The 21,675-nt window shown below is 42.8% G+C and overlaps 2 protein-coding genes across 5 annotated transcripts in view, besides 1 other annotated feature; both read left to right on the plus strand.

Moving 5' to 3' along the window:
• Positions 1-21,675, plus strand: part of STON1-GTF2A1L (STON1-GTF2A1L readthrough) — a 246,595-nt gene that overhangs the window by 41,276 nt on the left and 183,644 nt on the right. For all 3 annotated transcript variants that reach the window (NM_001198593.2, NM_172311.3, NM_001198594.1), the window contains 2 exons: positions 9,387-11,363; positions 20,453-20,655. In NM_001198593.2, the coding sequence (NP_001185522.1) occupies positions 9,434-11,363; positions 20,453-20,655 (2,133 nt within the window). In that variant the 5' untranslated portion in view covers positions 9,387-9,433. Of the gene's footprint in view, positions 1-9,386; positions 11,364-20,452; positions 20,656-21,675 lie in introns of those variants that run through there.
• The window catches only part of STON1 (stonin 1), a 68,360-nt gene that overhangs the window by 41,047 nt on the left and 5,638 nt on the right, over positions 1-21,675 (plus strand). For both annotated transcript variants that reach the window (NM_001198595.2, NM_006873.4), the window contains 2 exons: positions 9,387-11,363; positions 20,453-20,655. In NM_001198595.2, the coding sequence (NP_001185524.1) occupies positions 9,434-11,363; positions 20,453-20,655 (2,133 nt within the window). In that variant the 5' untranslated portion in view covers positions 9,387-9,433. The remainder of the gene's footprint in view (positions 1-9,386; positions 11,364-20,452; positions 20,656-21,675) is intronic.
• Positions 14,333-14,967: an enhancer, noted in NCBI's record as "OCT4-NANOG-H3K27ac-H3K4me1 hESC enhancer chr2:48812672-48813306 (GRCh37/hg19 assembly coordinates)". NCBI's record gives its function as "activates a minimal SCP1, AML or CMV promoter by ChIP-STARR-seq in naive H9 embryonic stem cells {active_cell/tissue: H9 hESC(naive)}" and the evidence as "EXISTENCE:reporter gene assay evidence [ECO:0000049][PMID:30033119]".

The following is a 21,675-nucleotide window of genomic DNA, read 5'->3' on the forward strand; positions in this document are numbered from 1 at the left end:
GTATTCCAGATTGAAAGTAGACCTTTGAAAAGTATGGGGCATGCAGGCTGGGATGGAATCCACAGCTGAGGGAAAAGCCAGGGAATCAAAATAGAGGAATCTTTGCTTCAGAGGAAGGCAGCTGGGGACTTGGTGCCAGGAGTGTTTGGTTCCCAGCTCTGCACTAACTGGATTTGAGACTTTGGGGAAAGTGCCCAGAAGCTGTGGTCTGCTCTGGATTGTCATGCAGTTTAAATGAGACGTTGCCTGTGAAGGGCTTTCTGGGAGGAACAGGTACATATCTAGACCAACCCTACTTGTAATGCAGGAACAAAACAAAACTGAAATTACATAGATGCTGCCCCTTGAATACTCTTGGATTCCAGGGTCTCAAAGTGCATAGGGTAAAGTAGCAGATGACTGAGGAAAATGCATCTAAACTTCTCTTAGCCTTCTTATCTCTCGGAGACCCAATAGGCTTCTAACAGACCAAGGCTCTGGACAGGGTGTGGCCCCCTTTCCTATGAGAGGATTAGGAGGGAAGGAAAGGGAAAGAAGGTGCTGCATGAAATTGATCTTAGTTGTTGACTTTGTGCCAACTGGCTGGTGGGGGTTTTGAGACCAGAATAGAAAGATGAAGTCATATAGAAGGATCAGCTGAAAGAGGTAAGAGAAACGGAAGCAAGTGTAAAAAGGATTGATAGGCTGGGCACGGTGGCTCACGCCTGTAATCCCAGCACTTTGGGAGGCCAAGGCAGGTGAACCACAAGGTCAGGAGTTCGAGACCAGCCTGGCCAACATGGTGAAACCCTGTCTCTACTAAAAATACAAAAATTAGCCTGGCATGGTGGTGGGCGCCTGTAATCCCAGCTACTCGGGAGGCTGAGGCAGGAGAATTGCTTGAACCTGGGAGGCAGAGGTTGCAGTGAGCCAAGATCATGCCACTACACTCCAGCCTGGGTGACAGAGGAAGACTCCATCTCTGGAAAAAACAAAAAGGATTAATAAAGGAAGATAGCAAGAGATTGAAGAGGGGAGGAAGAGGAGGGCAGTGGGAAGCAGGCCTCCCCTCGACAATGGGGAATCAGAGCTGCTGACTCCAGAACAGTATTAAACTTCCAGGACAAAGGTTTGGGTTCCTATTGGGCACCATATGAAGTTCTATTTGGTTGAATAAACTCACATCACATTTGCTGAGTGCCTCCTATGGAAGAGTCCTGGACGGGGGTGAAAGGTGGACAGTGAGGGGGTAGGAGTGCACTTTGCATAGATCTGGGTTTCAAGGTAGGAGATGTTTGTGTAAGGTTTGCTTTTAAAAAATTCAGGGCTGCTTACAAAGTAATGGGCTTGATTTCTTTTCTCCTGCTTATGGAAATCAGTTTATTTGTCTCATAATAAGCAAAAACTGAAGAAACCAACACCACTGTTGCAAATTTTGAAGCTACAAGGAAAACTGATGAGGTGAAATTTTTGGCATACATCAGAATCGTATTCAGTCTGAAACGGAATTATTTCCTCTTTTTCTTTTCTTTTTAATAAACCCAACTAAAGTAAATATTTTCCTGAGCTCTCACCCCTATAGGAGGGTTATTTTGGCCTTCTGAAGAGGGTGAGATGGAGATATAGTGCTGCTGATTTCCTACCTGTGAGCCTCCTCGTGGGTCCCATCGAAACCCTGCTCTCCCTGCTCTGAGGGAAGGTGCTTCACAGCAACTTCAGCCTAAGGGCAGTGACAGTGAAATGGCCTCCAGGGAGCCAGCAGCCTGGGCTGCCCTCCGCTGTGTGTTTTTGTGCCCTCAGGAATGTGTGGATGCAGCAAATGACAACAGTGAGTGCTCTGTCCCTAGCGGAGCCCCAGGCCCTGTCACTTTTTGTCTTGGCTGGTTTCCAAGGTTGAATGATTGCATTGGTTGAAGCTTCATTATCCACAAGGGGAGGCAAGACAGTGGGCTGGAGGGAGAAAAATAGGCCTTTCCCACGGGCATGATTCCAGCAGGGTTTGCATTTTTACATCAGTAGATCTCAGGGACTTTCATTTTCTGTCAGTTTGGGCCGTTTGCCCTATCCCAGCTACTTGGGAGGCTGAGGCAGGAGGATCACTTCAGCCCAGGAATTTGAGACCAGCCTTGGAAACAGCAGGATCCCACTTCTGAAAGATAAATAAATAAATATCCCAGCACTAAAGCCCATGTATTTAGTGGTAATACAATTTCTGCTTTTGACAGCATTTTCCACTGGATGTCAGCCGCCATAGCATCACTTTGGAGTTGGAAAGGACCACAGAGCTCATTCTAGTGTAATCCCTGAATGTCTGGAGAGGCTGTGCACACAGCTAGTGAGTGACAGAGTGGTGCCCAGAATTTGGGTTACCCAAGCCCCACATCAGTGTTGTGGTCCCTACACTTCACTGCCTCTGGTGTCATTAGAATAATTTCAGTAATTTGTTGTATCAGGTTGGGCTGAAGTGACCTGTATTCAAATCCTGGTTTTTCCACACCTAGGTATATACTCAAGAAAAAGGATCACACGAAACTTATACACAAATATTCAGAGCAGCATTTTTCAAAGTAACTAAAAAGTGGAAACAAACCAAATGTCTATCAACTGATAAATGGATAAACAAAGTGTGATATTTCCATGCAGTGGACTACTCTTCAGCCTTGAAAAGGAAGGAAGCAGTGATATGTGCTACCACATGGATGACCTTGGAAACATTATGCTAGGTGAAAGAAGCCAGACACAAAAGCCATATGTTGTATGATTCAGTTTACATAAAATGTCCTGAATAGGCATATTCACAGGCACAGAAAGTAGTTTAGTGGTTTCCAGGGCCTGTGGGGAGGGGAGTATGTGGAGTGACTACTAATAAGCATACAGGGTTTATTATTGGGATGAAAAGAATGTTGTGGAATTTGGCCAGGTGCAGTGGCTCACACCTGTAATCCCAGCACTATGGGAGGCCGAGGCAGGTGGATCACTTGAGATCAGGAGTTTGAGACCAGCTTGGCCAACATGGTGAAACCCTGTTTCTACTAAAAGTACAAAAATTAGCCGGGTGTGGTGGCGTGCACCTGTAATCCCAGCTACTTGGGAGGCTGAGGCAGGAGAATCGATTGAACCCTGGAGGCAAAGGTTGCAGTGAGTCGAGATCGTGCCACTGCACTCCAACCTGAGCGACAGAGTGCAACTCCATCTCGAAAAAAAAAAAAAGAAAAGAAAGAATGTTGTGGAATTTGATAGTTGTGATGGTTTCACAATTGTGTTAACATACTAAACATACTAAAAGCCACTGAACTGACACTTTTTTAAAAGGGTGAATTCATGGTATAAGAATTATATCTCAGTAAAGCTGTTATTTAAAAAATTCTGGCTCTACCTCTTACTGGCTGGGCGACTTTAGGCAATGAACCTAAAGCCAAGTCATCTCAGCTATGAAACTGGAATAATAATACACTTCACAGGGTCTTTTTGATAAACGAGATTGTGAATTTGAAAATGCTTCTAAAGTGTAAACCTCACATATTTTTGGACTGTCAATGGGTTATAAGTTCATTATAAATTGGATTTTTAATCTTCTCCTCCTGTGTTTTTCACAATACTAACAAGGTCTGGGTACATAGTGATCACTCAAATAAAGATTTATTGAGTTGATTCAAATGTATTTCAGTTTTATTCAATTGTGGTAAATGAAACTACACAACAGGAAATCTACTCTTTTAAAAGTTTTCAACTGTTAAAAACGGTGTTATGAACGATATGCACATTGTTGTACAGCAAATCTCTAGAACCTTTTCATCTTACATAACTGAAACTATATCCACTGAACAGCAACTTCCCATTTTTACCTACTCCCAGTTCCTGGCAAATGCCATTTTACTTTCTGCGGTATGAGTTAGACTACTTTACATACTTCGTATAAGAGGAGTCATGTAGGATTTGTCCTTCTGTGATGGGCTTACTGCACTTAGCATAATGTGCTGAAGGTTAATCTATGTTGCAACTTGCGTCAGAATTTTCTTCCTTTTAATACTGAATAATATTCTATTGTATGAATATACTGCATTTTCTTTATGCATCCATCCATCAATTAACATTTAGGTTGTTTCCATCTGTTGACTATTGTAAATAATGATGCAGTGAATATGAGAGTGCAAATATTTTTTCAAGACCCTGTTTTAAATTCTTTTGGATAGGCTGGGTTCTGTGGCTCACACCTGTAATCCCAGCACTTTGGGAGGCCGAGGAGGGTGGATCACCTGAGGTCGGGAGTTCGAAACCAGCCTGACCAACATGGAGAAACCCCATCTCTACTAAAAATACAAAATTAGCCGGGCATGGTGGTGCATGCCTGTAATCCCAGCTACTCAGAGGGCTGAGGCAGGAGAATCACTTGAACCCGGGAGGCAGAGGTTGCGGTGAGCCGAGATTGCGTCACTGCACTCCAGCCTGGGCAACAAGAGCAAAACTCCGTCTCAAAAATAAATAAATAAATAAATAAATAAATAAATGAATTCTTTTGGATAAATACCCGTAAGTGGATTGCTGGATCATATGGTAGTTCTATTTTTAGTTTTTGTTTGTTTTTTTTTTTTTTTTGAGATGCAGTTTTGCTCTTGTTGCCCAGGCTGGAGTGCAATGGCGTGATACCCATTCACTGCAACATCTGCCTCCTGGGTTCAAGCAATTCTCCTGCCTCAGCCTCCCAAGCAGCTGAGATTACAGGTGTGCGCCACCACGCCTGGCTAATTTTGCATTTTTAGTAGAGACAGGGTTTCACCATGTTGGCTAGGCTGGTCTTGAACTCCTGGTCTTAGGTGATCCACCTGTCTTGGCCTCCCAAAGTGCCTGGATTAGAGGTGTGAGCCACCGCACCTGGCCCTATTTTTAATTTTTTGAGGGCCTTCCATATTGTTCCCCATAATGGCTGCACCACTTTACATTGCCAGCAACAATGCACAAGGGTTCCGATTTCTTACATCCTTGCCAAGATTTGTTGTTTTCCTTTCTTTTTTTTTTTTTTTTTTTTTTTTTGAGACAGAGTCTCACTGTGTTGCCCAGGCTGGAGTGCAGTGGGATCTCTGCTCACTGCAACCTCTGCCTCTTGGGTTCAAGTGATTCTCATGCCTCAGCCTCCTGAGTGGCTGGGATTTCAGGCACCCACCACCACACCCAGCTAATTTTTGTATTTTTAGTAGAGATGAGTTTTCACCATGTTGGCCAGACTGGTCTTGAACTCCTGACCTCAAGTGATCCTCCCGCCTCGGCTTTCCAAAGTGCTGGGATTATAGGTGTGAGCCACTGTGCCTGGCCATATTATCCTTTTTTTTTTTTTTTTTAAAAGAAAATAATGGCCATTCTAAAAGGTATGAGGTGATAGATACCTCGTTGTAGTTTTGATTTGCATTGTCCTGATGATTAGTGATGTTGAGCATCTTTTCATATATTTTCTGGCTATTTGTATGTCTTTTTTGGAGACATGTTTATTCAAGTACTTTGCCAATTACTAAATTGCATGATTTATTTTCTTGCCGTTGAGTTTATTGAGTTCCTTATATGTTTTGGATATTAATTCCTTATAAGAAATACCGTTTGCAGGCCGGGCGCGGTGGCTCACGCCTGTAATCCCAGCATTTTGGAGGCAGAGACGGGTGGAGCACAAGTTCAGGAGATTGAGACCATCCTGGCTAACACGGTGAAACCCTGTCTCTACTAAAAATACAAAAAATTAGCCGGGCGCGGTGGCGGGCGCCTGTAGTCCCAGCTACTTGGGAGGCTGAGGTAGGAGAATGGCGTGAACCTGGGAGATGGAGCTTGCCGTGAGCCAAGATCGCGCCACTGCACTCCAGCCTGGGCGACTGAGCGAGATTCCATCTCAAAAAAAAAAAGAAAAAAAGAAAGACAGAAATACCGTTTGCAAATATTTTCTCCTATTCTTTATGTTACCTTTTTACTCTGTTGATTGTTTCCTTTGCTGTGCAGAAACTTTTAAGTTTAATGGTGTCTCACTTTTCTGTTTTTGCTTTTGTTGCCTGTGCTTTGCTGTCATATCCAAGAAATCATTGCCAAGACCAATGTTATGAAGATTTTCCTCTGCATTTTTTTCTCAGAGTTTTATAGTTTTCACCGGGCGCGGTGGCTCATCCCTATAATCCCAGCACTTTGGGAGGCCGAGGTGGGCAGATCACGAGGTCGGGAGTTTGAGACCAGCCTGACCAACGTAGGGAAACCCCATCTCTACTAAAAATACCAAAATTAGCCTGGCGTGGTGGTGCGTGCCTGCAATCCCAGCTACTCAGGAGGCTGAGGCAGGAGAATTGATTGAACCAGGGAGGCGGATGTTGCAGTGAGTTGAGATCGGGCCACTGCATTCCAGCCTGAGCGACAGAGCGAGACTCCGTCTCATAAAAAAAAAAAGAAAAAAAAACAGGTTTTTTTGTTTGTTTGTTTTTTGTAGGGGAGGAGATTCACTCTTGTTGCCCAGGCTGGAGTGCAGTGGCACAATCTTGACTCACTGCTACCTCCACCTCCTGGGTTCAAGCGATTCTCCTGCCTCAGCCTCCTGAGTAGCTGGGATTACAGGCGTCCACCACCACTCCCGGCTATTTTTTATATTTTTAGTAGAGACGCGATTTCACCATGTTGCCCAGGCTGATCTCCAACTCCTGACCTCAGGTGATCCGTCCACCTCGGCCTCCCAAAGTGCTGGGATTACAGGCATGAGCCACCGAGCCCGGCCAAAAAAAACCAAAAAAACAAAAAACCCCCCAGAGTTTTATAGTTTCAAGTCTTATGTTTAAATCTTTTATCTATTTTTTTTTTGAGACGGAGTTTTGCTCTGTCGCCCAGGCTGAAGTGCAGTGACACAACCTTGGCTTACTGCAACCTCTGCCTCCCAGGCAATTCCCCTGCCTTAGCCTCCAGAGTAGCTTGGAATACAGGTGTGTGCCACCAGGCCTGGCTAATTTTTTTGTATTTATAGTAGAGATGGGGTTTCACCATGTTGGCCATGCTGGCCTTGGACTTCTGACCTCAGGTGATCCACCCACCTTGGCCTCCCAAAGTTGTTGGGATTACAGGTGTGAGCCACTGCACCCAGCCTCTTCCATCCATGTTGAGTTGATGGTTGTGTATGATATAAGACAAGCTTGTCCAACGTGCAGCCCACAGGCTACATGTAGTCCAGGACGGCTTTGAATGCTGCCTAACACAAATTTGTAAACTTTCTTAAAACATGAGATCCTTTTTTTTCTTTTTTTAACTCATCAGCTATCTGTAGTGTTAGTGTATTTTGTGTGTGGCCCAACACAATTCTAATTCTCCTTTTTCTCCTCCTCCTTCTCCGCTTCCTCTTTCTCCTCCTTCTCCTCCTTCTCCTCCTTCTCCTCCTCCTCCTCCTCCTTCCTTTTTTTTTTTTTTTTTTTTTTTTTGATATAGAGTTTCTCTCTGTCGTCCAGGCTGGAGTGCAATGGTGCAATCTCAGCTCACTGCAACCTCCTCCTCTCAGGTTCAAGCAATTCTCCTGCCCACCACCATGCCTGGCTAATTTTTGGGCAGGTACCCACCACCATGCTTGGTTAACTTTTGTATTTTTAGTAGAGACTGGGTTTTGCCATGTTGGCCAGGCTGGTCTCTAACTCCTGACCTCAAGTGATCTACCCACCTTGGCCTCCCAAAGTGCTGGGATTATAGGCGTGAGCCACTGTGCCTGGCCTTAATTCTTCCTCCAGTGTGGCTGAGGGAAGCCAAAAGATTAGACATCTCTGGTATAAGATTACAGTTTAGTTTCACTCTTTTGCATGTGGATATCAAGTTTTTTCAACACCACTTTTTTTTTTTTGTTTGAGACAAAGTTTCGTTCTCCTTGCCCAGGCTGGAGAGTAATGACACAGTCTCTGTTCACTGCAACCTCTGCCTCCCGGGCTCAAGCGATTTTCCTGCCTCAGCCTCCTGAGTAGCTGGGATTACAAGTGTGTGCCACCATGCCCAGCTAATTTTTTGTATTTTTAGTAGAGATGGGGTTTCTCCATGTTGGCCAGGCTGGTCTCGAACTCCTGACCTCAGGTGATCTGCTCTCCTCAGCCTCCCAAAGTGCTGGGATTATAGATGTGAGCCACTGCACCCAGCCCTCTTTCTTCCTTTTTTTTTTTGAGACGGAGTCTCACTGTGTTGCCCAGGCTGGAGTGCAGTGGCGCATTTGTGGCTATAAAGTTCCCTGTGAGTACTGTTTTGGTGTGCTGTGTTTTCATTTTCATTTGTCTCAAGATATTTTCTAATTTCCTTTTTTATTTCTCCTTTGATCCATTGGTTGTTCAAGAGTATGTTAATTTTCAAATATTTGTGAATTTTTTAGTTTTCCTTCTATTATTAATTTCTAGTTTTATTCCATTGTGGTTAGAAAAAATGTTTGTGTGATTTCAATCTTCTCACATTTGTTAAGATTTGTTTTGTAACCTAACGTGATCTGCTTTGGCAAATGTTCTGTGTGTGCTTGAGAAGAATATGTGTTCTGCTGCTGTTAGGTGGAATGTTCTGTATATGTATGGCAGTTTAGTTGAGTTTATAGTGTTCAAGTCTATTGTTTCTTTAGTGGTCTTCTGTCTGGATGTTCTGTGTATTGTTGAAAGTATGGTGTTGAAATCTCCAATTATTAGTGGGTGGCTATCTATTTCTCTCTTCAGTTCTGTTAATGTTTGCTTCATATATTTGGGTGCTCTGATGTTGGATATATAAATATATATATATTTTCAGATGGAGTTTCACTCTGTCACCCAGGCTGGAGTGCAATGGCACTATCTCAGCTCACTGCAACCTCTGCCTCCCAGGTTCAAGAGATTCTCCTGACTCAGCTACCTGAGTAGCTGGGATTACAGGTGCCCACCACCATGCTTGGCTAATTTTTGTATTTTTTTGTAGAGACAGGGTTTTGCTATGTTGGCCAGACTGCTCTCGAACTGCTGACCTCAGGTGACCTGCTTGCCTCGGCCTCCCAAAGTGCTGGGATTACAGTTGTGACCCACCATTCCCAGCTGGGTTAATATATATTTATAATTGTTGCGTCTTCCTAGTGAATTGACTCTTTTATCATTATATTATGTCCTTCTTTGTCTCCTATGATAGTTTTTGACTTAAAGTTTATTTTGCTTAAGCATGGCTACTCCTGCTCTCTCTTGGATAACATTTGCATGGAATATGTTTTTTCATCCTTTCACTTTCAGCATATGTCTGTCTTTAAATCTAAAGTGAGTACCTTATAGACAGCATACAGTTGGATCATGTTTTTTTTTTAATCCACTTAGCCACCAACAGAATTATAATTTTTAAGCATTTATCAGAAGTAAAGACATTTAGTAATGATTCCCCCCTTCATTTTATATACCTATTTTCTCTTTATTTTATTTTTTTAACAGAGTCAACCTATTTGATTTCTTGACAAGACCACAATCTGATCCCAAAGATGTGCTCCACAAATCCAGGCAAATGGGTCACCTTTGATGATGATCCTGCTGTTCAATCTTCTCAAAAGTCAAAGAATTTTCCTCTGGAGAATCAAGGTGTCTGTAGACCAAATGGACTGAAGCTGAACCTTCCTGGCCTCAGGGAATTTCCCAGTGGATCTTCCTCCACCAGCAGCACTCCTCTCTCCTCCCCCATTGTAGATTTTTATTTCAGTCCAGGACCTCCAAGTAACTCTCCTCTTTCTACACCTACCAAAGACTTCCCAGGTTTTCCTGGCATCCCCAAAGCAGGGACTCATGTGCTTTATCCTATTCCAGAATCATCTTCAGACAGCCCACTCGCAATATCAGGAGGAGAATCTTCCTTACTGCCTACCAGACCAACATGTTTATCCCATGCCTTGTTACCCAGTGACCACTCATGTACACATCCAACTCCCAAAGTAGGTCTTCCAGATGAAGTTAATCCTCAACAGGCTGAAAGCCTAGGATTCCAAAGTGATGATCTCCCCCAGTTTCAGTATTTTCGAGAGGACTGTGCTTTTTCAAGTCCATTTTGGAAAGATGAAGGCAGTGATTCCCATTTCACCCTTGACCCACCAGGAAGCAAAAAGATGTTCTCATCAAGAAACAAGGAGATGCCTATTGACCAAAAAAGCCTAAATAAGTGTTCACTCAACTATATCTGTGAGAAGCTTGAACATCTCCAGTCAGCTGAGAACCAAGACTCACTTAGAAGTTTGTCTATGCACTGTCTATGTGCTGAAGAAAATGCCTCTTCCTTTGTCCCCCACACACTCTTCAGGAGTCAGCCAAAATCCGGATGGTCTTTCATGCTGAGAATTCCTGAGAAGAAGAATATGATGTCTTCCCGGCAATGGGGACCAATTTTTCTGAAAGTTTTGCCTGGAGGAATTTTGCAGATGTATTATGAACAGGGATTAGAAAAACCATTTAAAGAGATACAGCTTGATCCATATTGTAGGCTTTCTGAACCCAAGGTTGAGAACTTCAGTGTAGCAGGAAAAATCCACACTGTGAAGATTGAACATGTGTCTTACACAGAAAAAAGGAAATACCATTCTAAGACAGAAGTAGTTCATGAACCTGACATAGAGCAGATGCTGAAGTTGGGGTCCACATCGTACCATGACTTCCTTGACTTTCTGACTACTGTGGAGGAGGAGCTGATGAAGTTGCCAGCTGTTTCAAAACCAAAAAAGAACTACGAGGAGCAAGAAATTTCCTTGGAAATTGTGGACAACTTTTGGGGTAAAGTCACAAAAGAAGGAAAATTTGTTGAAAGTGCTGTGATAACTCAAATTTATTGCCTCTGCTTTGTGAATGGGAACCTGGAATGCTTTTTAACCTTGAATGACCTTGAGTTGCCGAAGCGAGATGAATCCTATTATGAGAAGGACTCAGAAAAAAAGGGGATTGATATTCTTGACTACCATTTTCATAAGTGTGTGAATGTACAAGAATTTGAGCAATCAAGAATCATTAAGTTTGTACCTCTGGATGCCTGCCGGTTTGAGCTGATGCGTTTCAAGACTTTGTATAATGGGGATAATCTTCCCTTTTCCTTGAAGTCTGTAGTGGTTGTCCAGGGAGCATACGTGGAACTTCAGGCTTTTGTCAACATGGCCTCATTGGCGCAGAGGTCATCCTATGCTGGTTCCTTAAGGTCCTGTGACAATATAAGGATACACTTTCCTGTCCCATCGCAGTGGATCAAGGCCCTTTGGACCATGAACCTCCAGAGGCAGAAGTCTCTGAAAGCTAAAATGAACCGCCGAGCATGTCTGGGGAGTTTACAGGAACTTGAATCTGAACCTGTCATTCAAGTCACTGTGGGGTCAGCAAAATATGAGAGTGCCTACCAGGCAGTGGTATGGAAGATAGATCGGCTTCCAGACAAAAATTCAAGTAAATATTCAACACCCCAAGTTTATTTTCATGGGAAATAGCTTAAATATTCTTACCTTCCTCCTTGGGTTGAAACCAGGTAGAGACAGATGGCAATTTGTCAGCTGAGGCTGTGCTTTGGGGTAGGAGATGGAACATTTAGCTAAACAGCTGGTTTATTTGTTTCCTTTTGCACCTATTTCTACCAGATAAGTTTAACTGTTGAACATTTTTTAAATATCATACGAAATACCATGCTAGGCTAGGAATTTGTTGTGGATGGCGGCACTAAGAGAAAATTCGTTGATATCCATGGTTGAGATTAACGCATCAACTTCAAATGTTAAAAATATTTCTAATATAGCTGAGATTCCCTAATTAATCTCTAAAGATCTGTCATCCATGAATATACCTGAACTTCTTTGCATTCTCAGCTGATACCACTTCTTCCTTAGGTTTGCTCCCTGCTCTTTGAAATAAGACTGCTTTCATTTTTACCCAAATTGATTTTTGTTGACTGAATTCACCCATTTGGTCATCTCAACTTGTATTGTTTTTGTTTTTGACATGGCATCTCACTCTGTCATCCAGGCTGGAGTGCAGTGGCACGATCACGGCTCACTGCAGCCTCCACTTCCCAGGCTCAAGTGATCTTCCTGCTTCAGCCTCCTCAGTACCTGGGATTACAGATGCATACCATCGTGCCTGGCTAATTTTTTGTTTTTTAGTAGAGACGGGGTCTCCCTATGTTGCCCAGGCTGCTCTTGAATTCCTGGGCTCAAGGGATCCTCCCACATTGGCCTCCCAAAATGCTAGCATTACAGGTGTGAGCCACCTCATCTGGCCTAAACTGGTTGTTTTAGAATTAGGTGGACACACGTGAGTGTTAAAAATTCAGTTAATTTTTAAAAATTTTGCAAATAAAAATTATCTAAAAGTCAGAACTTGAAAAGACAGTTATAGTACCACATTTATTTTGGAGTAGTAAGTAAATAGTAGTGGACATAATATAATAAAGTCAAAAACCAAATTTTAAAATTAGAGCTCTTTCCTATTTTAGTTGAGGGTTGTTGGTTTTTTTTTTTTTTCCCCCCTAGCAGAGCACTGGTCACTGGTCTCTGGAGTTAAATTGGAGGTGGGGTTGGGGGACCTGAGTTGATGCATTCATGCATCCATCGATCCATCCATCCATTGATCCAAATCTTTTTTTTCTTTTTTTTTTTTTTTTGAGATGGAGTCTCGCTTTCTCACCCAGGTGGAGTGCGGTGGCACAATCTCGGCTTACTGCAACCTCCGCCTCTCGGGTTCAAGTGATTCTCCTGCCTCAGCCTCCGGAGTAGCTGGAACTACAGGCGCCCACCACCATGCCTGGCTAATTTTTGTATTTCAGTAGAGACAGGGTTTCACCATATTGGCCAGGGTGGTCTCAAACTCCTGACTTTGTGATCCTCCCACCTCGGCCTCCCATAGTGCTGGGATTACAGGCTTGAGCCACTGTGCCCGGCCCATCCATCCAAATCTTTACTGAGTACTTACTGTATACCAAGTGCCACATCAAGTGCTGGGGATAAAGATAAATAAAAATCTGATCCCTGTTTCCAGATGGCTCACAGCTGCTGTAGTCCTTCAGAGAAATTTAAGCTCATCTAGGCCCCTCCAGGCTGTGGACTTCAGAGGAAGCATTTTTCTTTGGGGTGGCCTTATGGCAGTGTTTCTCAAACCTGGCTATATTATTATTATTATTATTTTGAGATGGAGTCTTACTCTGTTGCTCAGGCTGGAGTGCAGTGCGATAGCTCACTGCAACCTCTGCCTCCCAGGTTCAAGTGATTTTCCTGCCTCAGCCTCCCGAGTAGCTGGGACGACAGGCGTGAGCCACCACGCCTGGCTAGTTTTTTTATTTTTAGTAGAGACGGGGTTTTCCCATGTTGGCCAGACTGGTCTTGAACTCCTGACCTCAAGTGATCCACCCGCCTTGGCCTCCCAAAGTGTTGGGATTACAGGTGTGAGCCACCATGCCTGGCCAAACCTGACTATATTAGAATAACTTGAAAGCTTTTAAATCATCTCAATGTTTAGGTTTCACTTCATGCTAATTAAATCGGAATCTCTGGCGGGGGTGGGCGGTGGGGAGGGAGCCAGATTCCAAGTATTTTAAGATCTCTCCAGATACAAGGTGTAGCCAGAGGGAAGAACACTGCTCTCCAGGTGTTGTAAAGTTGTAGAACCAGAAGAACAAGCCCCAGACTACAATTGACTTGAGGGGCAGCACTGCCCGTACCCTGGAGGCCATGGGACCACCTTGTCCATGACTCTCTGTTTGTTGGTTTAACACCTGTTGACTGATGAGAGCTTGAGCTATGGGCAGGATCCTTCAGGTGAGAGACACAGGCCTAGTGAGCTGAGGAGCTCCAGGACCCTGTGCAGAAGGGAAGTTCCTACATTGTCTTTCTTCCTGACACCCCATACCCTTCTTCATTAATGCCAAATTTCACCCCACAGCGTTCTCAAGACTCAGATTAATTATGTTCAGTTCCCCCATACTAGCAAGGATAGCTCAGGCTTAGGGCAGAGTGAGGTGGTGATGGTGCAGCCTGGTCACAGTAAATGGTCTCAAACAGCACATTCTGATCAACTCTGCTGTGATGGGAGGGAAGGTCAGTATCTTCTATGATATAATCCACTGAGATGATGTTTCCTGCTTTCTTTTTTTTTCTTTTTTTGGGATGGAGTGTTGCTCTGTCACCCAGGCTGGAGTGCAGTGGTGCAATCTTGGCTCACTGCAACCGCTGCCTCCTGGGTTCAAGCAATTCTAGTGGCTCAACCTCCCAAGTAGCTAGGATTACAGGCCCGCACCACCACACCCGGCTAACTTCTTATATTTTGTGTAGAGATGGGGTTTCACCATGTTGGCCAGGCTGGTCTCGAACTCCCAACCTCAGGTGATCCACCCGCCTCGGCCTCCCAAAGTGCTGGGATTAGAGGTTTGAGCCACCGTGCCTGGCCCCTGCTTTCTTTTATAACTTGGCTAGAGAGGCAAATTGAACCATTTGCATCATCATGCCAGAGAAACCAGTTTTAAGGTCTTCATACAAGGTTCCAAATGGTCTATTCTAAAAGTTACTTGTGCTAGTTTTAGGTTAGAGGGTTTAAACAAAATCAGAGTATTAGCTTTTGTTTTGCTCAACAAAAAGGGAAAGAGAGGCAGGCAGAAAGTCAGGCAGGCTGGAATGCCTATTGGAAACTCCTGGATCTGCAGGTTTCCCCTGAAATCTGGGTGATAAACTAACTCCTGTTGTTTTCCGTTGATCCTAGAGATGGTCTCGAGGACTAGAACAAAAGGTCCAAAGCAGTTTTTGCATAGACTTGAAGTGGTAATTATGCTTTTGAGAGAGAAGCACAATAGGCTCAGGCTGTGGGCTTGCCCACGTGGTGTGAGAGGGACAAGAGCACAGGCTCCCTTTGTAGTCCATTCCTATTGCTCTACTTAGAGCAGGTGCTCCGGGAGGCCCTGAAGGAAATAAGCACTTGGCTAAAGCCTGGCCAGGGTAACCACACTTATTTTTCAAACTGAGAACCCATACCAATCATCTTTTCTAATTTTGGGAGTGCAGACACGTATGAAGCTTTTTGTGAAAATGATCCTGTTTATAATACTGCATTTTTTTCAGAGTCATTGGTGTAGTTAACTGATTCAATCAACAAGAATTTATTGAGAAGGAGTCTCACTCATTTACTCCACAAACATCTACTAAAGTTCTTCTAGGTATAGGTTCTGTGCTGAGTGTTTAAGAGATACAGACACAAACATGATTCCTACTCTACCAGAAACTTAACAGTCTAGAAGGTGAGACAGACTCTGAAGCAGCTACCCAAATGCACTGTGGAAAAGTGCATAGTTCCAGGCTTGGACAAACATATGCACTTAGGGATCCCAGAGGAAAGGGTAATAAACTGCCTGGGGACTAGGGAGGGCTTCGCTGAAGAGCTGATGGCTGGGAGAGTCAATAGAGTTTCCATCAAAGAAAGAAACAGCAGAACCACAGGTGTGTGGGTGGGGGATCTTACCTAAGTTTTGGGGCTGAGGGAGTGGTCGGGGAAGAGACCAGTGTATTAAGACCTTGTGGGCCATGCTGTGGGGTGTGAAGTTTATCTGTCAACAGGGCCTCGGGGTTGTTTTCGGCATGACTGCTACAGAATCATATCTTGTTTCAGAAAGGCTGGCATGCAGTGCAGAGGAAAGATTTAGGAGTAGATTATAGACACAGGGAAGTTGGGAGGAGGTAAGGGTTGCTGAGCAAAGGCAGTGGCAGAGAGAGAGAGGCAAGAGATGGGTGAGCGAATTCAGGGGAGGTGCCCCTAAGTGATGACAGATTCTCTATGGGCATGAGGGAAAGGGAGGGAATGGGACAAGGTCAGGTGCTCTGGCTGTGGTGGATAGGTGGGCAATGGTGCCATTAGCCGAGATAGCCTGGGATCTTCTCATCACTCATCCTTTTAAAGTCTGTTTCCCAGTCCTGGCCACATGTTAGCATCATTAAAGCTTCAAACACATACCCATATTTGGGCCCCATCCCCTACTAATCGGGCTCTATGAAGATGAGGCTCAGGTGTTGATGTTTATAAAGGCTCATGCAGCCGGGGTTGAGAACTACTGACGTGATCCCCTAGGCAGAGATCATTCCTCCCTGCTCTGCATATGCCTTTGTCTTCCAGACCTCTGTTATTGCTCTCCCATGAGTATTTATTTATTTATTTATTTATTTATGAGACGGAGTCTCGCTCTGCCACCCAGGCTGGAGTGCAATGGCACCATCTTGGCTCACTGCAACCTCCACCTCCTGTGTTCAAGAGATTTTTCTGCCTCAGCCTCCCAAGTAGCTGGGACTACAGGTGCGCACCACCACGCCTGGCTAATTTTCGTGTTTTTAGTAGAGATGGGGTTTCGCCATATTGGCCAGGCTGGTCTCAAACTCCTGACCTCGTGACCTGCCCAGTTTGGCCTCCCAAAGTGCTGGGATTATAGGCATGAGCCACTGCGTCCGGCCTCCCATGAGTATTTATTAGCAGTGGAGCTCACCAAGAACAATGACAAGAATGGACATTTCCAGGGAAACTGGCTGGACCTGATCTTGGCCTTCAGGAATTCTTTTGTAAAACCGTCATATCACCAGGCCCACAGAGGACAACATTTTACAGGCATTTCAGTCAATTACACAGTGATAATTCACTGAACAAATCCTTTGGGATCACAGCTGCTTTATTGAGATCAGGTCTGTGCACAAAGAGGAGGCCCAGGGAAAACACAGTGGGGCTGTGTCAGGTGGCGTCCAGAGGGCATGGTGCAGCTGTGGGCCTGGCTTGGGGCAGGACATTTCTGGGATTACAGGGCCCTGCCCCAAGCTTCTCCGTTGAGGGGGTAGGGAGGGCAATGCAGAGAGTGAGAGGGTGCCAGGGCAGGCTATAAGCTAATTTGCCTCTTGAGAAGTAGGGTAATAATAAGGTTGGAGCAGAGAGGAAATCTTTGTCCTAAGGCAGTGCTTCTCAAACTTTTGTGGGCCCAGGAATCACCTTGTTAAAATGTGGATTTTGACTGAGCAAGTGGGATCTGGAATACTGTGTTTCTAACAAGTGCTGATGTGACGCCAATGCATCTGGCCCAAGGAATACGCTTAGAATAGCAGGATCCCAGAATGCATCTCTATTTTTCTATATGACTTTTAGATCAGTTGTGTATTTAGAGAACATAAAGTTTTTAAAAAGCTCTTTAAAATTTTATCCTTTTCAAGATTGTCTCGGAAAACTTTGCATTATTTGAAAAGATACTTCGAAAATGGAAACTGAATGAATAGCACTGGAGTGCAGTGGCGAGGTCTCAGCTCACTGCAACCTCTACCTCCCAGGCTCAAGCCATCCTCCCACCTCAGCCTCCCAAGTAGCTGGGACCACAGCACGTGCCATCACACCTGGTTAATTTTTTGTATTTTTGGTAGAGATGAGGTTTTGCCGTGTTGCTCAGGCTGGTCTCGAACTTCTCAGCTCAGGCAACCCACCCGCCTTGGCCTTCCGAGTGCTGGGATTATAGGTATAAGCTACCTACCGCACCTGGCAAGAACATATAAACTAGTCTACTATGTTCTAATTATAAAACTTTTTTTTAAATTTTTTTTCCTTCCTGGGAATTTGAGGGATCAGGATTGACCTTTTTTACTGGGGAAATCACCTGTGATTTCTGGAAAGGTGGGGAGGGCTGCTGGTCCCTTAATGTCCCTTCTAACCAGCTTGTCAATGCTTAGTATTCCTTTGACAGTGGGCAGGTCTTTCATTTTGCAACAAAGGTTTGCCTGAGGCACTAGCTCACAGACTTCATTCATACTAAGGTGTGAATGACAGCAGAGGAGCTTAGGCTTTGTTGGGGTGATAGAGAGAGAAAGAGAAAGGAAGAAAGAGAAAGACAGCTGAAGACAAATGAGGATGCTGGTTAGCCAGAGGAGGTGTATATGGTGGCACAGAATTATTAAGGGGAATGAGAGTGGTGGAGGAGCAATTAAATATATCTACCTCTAACTTCCCAATTTTTCGACTTTTCTCTTTTTTTCTTCTGCCCTGTCATCAGCACGTTGGTTGCTCTCTCCTCCTCCACTCTGTCATCCTCTTGCTATTCTTTCCCTTCGGCCCTCTAACAGTTCAGTTTCAGGTGTAAAATATTTTGGTTCAGGAGGGACTGGATATCAACTAGACCTAAGATTTTGTGATTTACATTCCCCGTCCTAAGAAAAGGAATTATGTTGAGTGAACAATGACCAAAGCTGGACAGTTCCCCCTGGTGGTCAGCACTGCGACAACACGATTTTCCTCTATCTTTTATTCATTAATTGGTGAATTTGAAAATAATCTGTTAAGCCCCAAACATGACAGACATTGTGCTAAGGACAGACATGACACCTGTCCCTGTGGGGCAGAAAGTCTGAAGAGGGAGTGTGTTACTAAACATTGTAGAGCATTTAGCATTTTCAAAAGCCTTAAAAAATAAGCCAGAAAACTTGAAAGGAAAAAGGCTTTTACCATTTTTAAAGAAAAGCAGGTAGAAAGGTTTTGTTTCTGACATTTTTTGTACCACTAAGTCTTCAATTTGGGTTTAGTTCTTCAATTTTCATCGTAAAATTTCCCCAAATAATTTTTTCTTATAAAGTGTGAGTATCAAATCAGATCATGTGTAGTATAATTTTTAACTCCGAATGTGTAACATTCACAGTCCCTTTATTAGCAAAATTATAGTAATTAAATAATACTGGCTTTATAATTGAATAGCACTTTGCAAAATAATATGTCTGGCTCATCTATATTGCTATAGAATACTACTGCCCCAGTGCTGTATGCATATGAACTGGTTAATCCTCACAACAGCCCTTATAAGGTTCAGGTTATCCTCATTATCCACATTTTTAGATGAAGAAACTGAGGCTCAGAGAGATAAGCAATTTGTAACCCTAGCCTTAACCACTTTGCCATAACAAGACAGAAGAATGCCTGCAGTAAGTGTAAATGAACTTACTGTATCCTCACTGCAGACAGAGGACTAAAAAGAGTAATGGGGTTTGCAATCTTTCTGGGTGTGTGTGTATGAGAATGAAGTTATCACTTGCCTCCAGTGATCAGGTTGTTAAGAGCACCTCAGAGGCCACTGTTGTCCTACCCTTCCTGTAAGTGGTAGAGATGGCTAATGAGCATCTGTTGGTTAACTGATTGATGATTTCTCAAGGCTTTTTACAGCCTTAGAATTCTATTAGTCACTCTACAAGAAACAGGTTGTATGGAACGAAAGGTAATTTATCTTTTAAGAATTAAGTGAAATCCTTTAAACTCTTGTTTTTGTGCCTAAAGCTATATTCTGATGGAAATGCTCTTTCTCTAGCTATGTCAGTGGTACAGTAATTTAATCTGGTTCTTGAAATTACTCTTTATCTCATACATTTATTTAAGTAAAGATAGCCACATTAGATATGGAGATGCTATGAACAATGCAACAGAATCATGGAATGTTTGTAAAGCTGCTGCAGTGATTACAATGAAAATATTGATCATTTCCTTATAACACACACACACACACACACACACTATATGACCCCCATCTAAAATCTTTGAAATATATCCAGTATCTCTGGGTCTGGCACTGAACCTGGCCTGGCATAGCACAGATGCTCAATAAGTGACAAATTGAGTGAAAACCAATATTAGATTAAAATATTAAAGGCCAATATGCCCATTTCTACTCTGTATAGCTGTTCCAGTCAAAGTATTTTGGAAGGATGAGTGAGAATTACAGTAGGGAAAAATAATTTGTTCCACTGAAAAAAGAATTCTTGGCCTGGAACATTTTCTGAAAGTTAAGTTTAACTTTTAAAAATCAGAATTTTAAAATAATGCGACTTAATTTGGGCTGAAGTTTATTTTTGAGTTATCTGTAAATAGATGGTAAGGAAATGAATAAATTAATAATTATAAGATGTTACTCAGTCTAAGAGAAAGAGGCTTGTACAGGTCTTGAGCACATTGTAGCCAAATAATTATGTTTAATATAAATATTACTCATATCTTTTAATTAAGGAAAACAATTAAGTTTAAGCATATTACTATATTGTTTAATATAAATTAAACATTAATATTAAAAATATTGCTTAAAATAAATATTTAGCAAATTATATTAGTATAATATAGTAATTATATTGTTATATACTAATATAATTTGCTAAATATAGTAATATTTCTAATTAATATTAGTAATATTTCTAATTGAAAACATTTTTAGGAGTTCATCTGTGCCTGCATATAGTAATATATTTTTTATTTTTATATTTTTGCCATTCTTATTCAAAATAGTAATGAAGTTGTACTTGTTTTTAAAGCTAGTACTTAAAAATGGCAGACAGCTTTCCCCCTAGTTGGTGCAAAATTGTAGATTTTCATGGTATGTTGTTTAAATGGAATTTGCACTGCTGCAGTGCTAATGAAATTCCTTATTAAGGAGAGAGATGAGTGCCTTTTATGTTCAAGAGAAATGTTCAATGGCCATTAAAATACTTTGACTATTTGATTTTTTTTCCCTCGAGGTCTAGATCATCCCCATTGTCTGTCATACAAATTAGAGCTTGGATCAGACCAAGAAATTCCCTCTGATTGGTATCCATTTGCTACTGTTCAGTTTTCCGTGCCTGACACCTGTGCCTCAAGGACAGAGGTCAGGTCTCTGGGAGTGGAGAGTGATGTCCAGCCACAGAAACATGTTCAGCAGCGAGCTTGCTACAACATCCAGGTACATCCCAAAACTTCTAGAACTGTGACCTGATTTGGCTTTAAATATTTGTTTTGCTGTCTTTTGTGATCGTGTATGTGTTGTGTGTGTGTGTATATGTGTGGTGAGATTTGCCCTAGAGAGGATCTCAGCTATGGAAACTTGATGGCCACCATTGAGCTTAGTTCTTCCTATCCATTCTGGAGAATGTTGGGAACACTTAATAATTTAGCTCTCAATGAAAAACAGGACATTAAAAATGAATCTACATTTTAGAAGCATATTTATAATAAAAATTATGATGTTAGGACACCATTTCTCAAAATATGTGCTGCAGAACATGTGTCCCATATAATTATCCAACAAAAGAATAAGTTGGGGAATGCCGTATACTAAATTAATGTTAAATAAAGGCTCCCAAGAAGTCCTGCAATAAGGAAACTTGTTAAACTTAGTTAACCCAGTTTTTCCCAACTCATTGGCTATTGTGTCTTGTCTTTGTGGGTATGTGTATGTAAAACACTTATCCCTATCTTGTGGAATAGTGTTCTGTGGAGCATGCTTTAGGAAATGCTGAGTTACTCTATTATGGTAGTTTTCAGTTTTTTTTTTTTTAAGACGGCATCTCACTCTGTCACCCAGGCTGGAGTGCAGTGGCATTATCTTGGCTCACTGCAACCTCCGCCTCCTGGGTCCAAGCGATTCTCCTGCCTCAGCCTCTCAAGTAACTGGGATTACAGCCACCCACCACCACACCCAGCTATTATTATTATTATTATTATTATTATTATTATTATTCTATTTTTAGTAGAGATGGGGTTTTGCCATGTTGGCCAGGCTGGTCTCAAACTCCCGACCTTAGGTAATCTGACCCTCTCGGCCTCCCCAAGTGCTGGGATTACAGGCGTAAGCCACCATGCCTAGCCTATTGGTAGCTTAAAGTTTTATTTTAAATTTTTAAATAGAGATGGGATCTCACTATGTTGGTCAGGCTGGTCTCAAATTCCTGGTCTCAAGTGATCCTCCTGCCTCGGCCTCCCA

This window comes from Homo sapiens, chromosome 2 (assembly GCF_000001405.40).
Source record: "Homo sapiens chromosome 2, GRCh38.p14 Primary Assembly".
NCBI classification, from domain to species: Eukaryota; Metazoa; Chordata; class Mammalia; order Primates; family Hominidae; genus Homo; species Homo sapiens.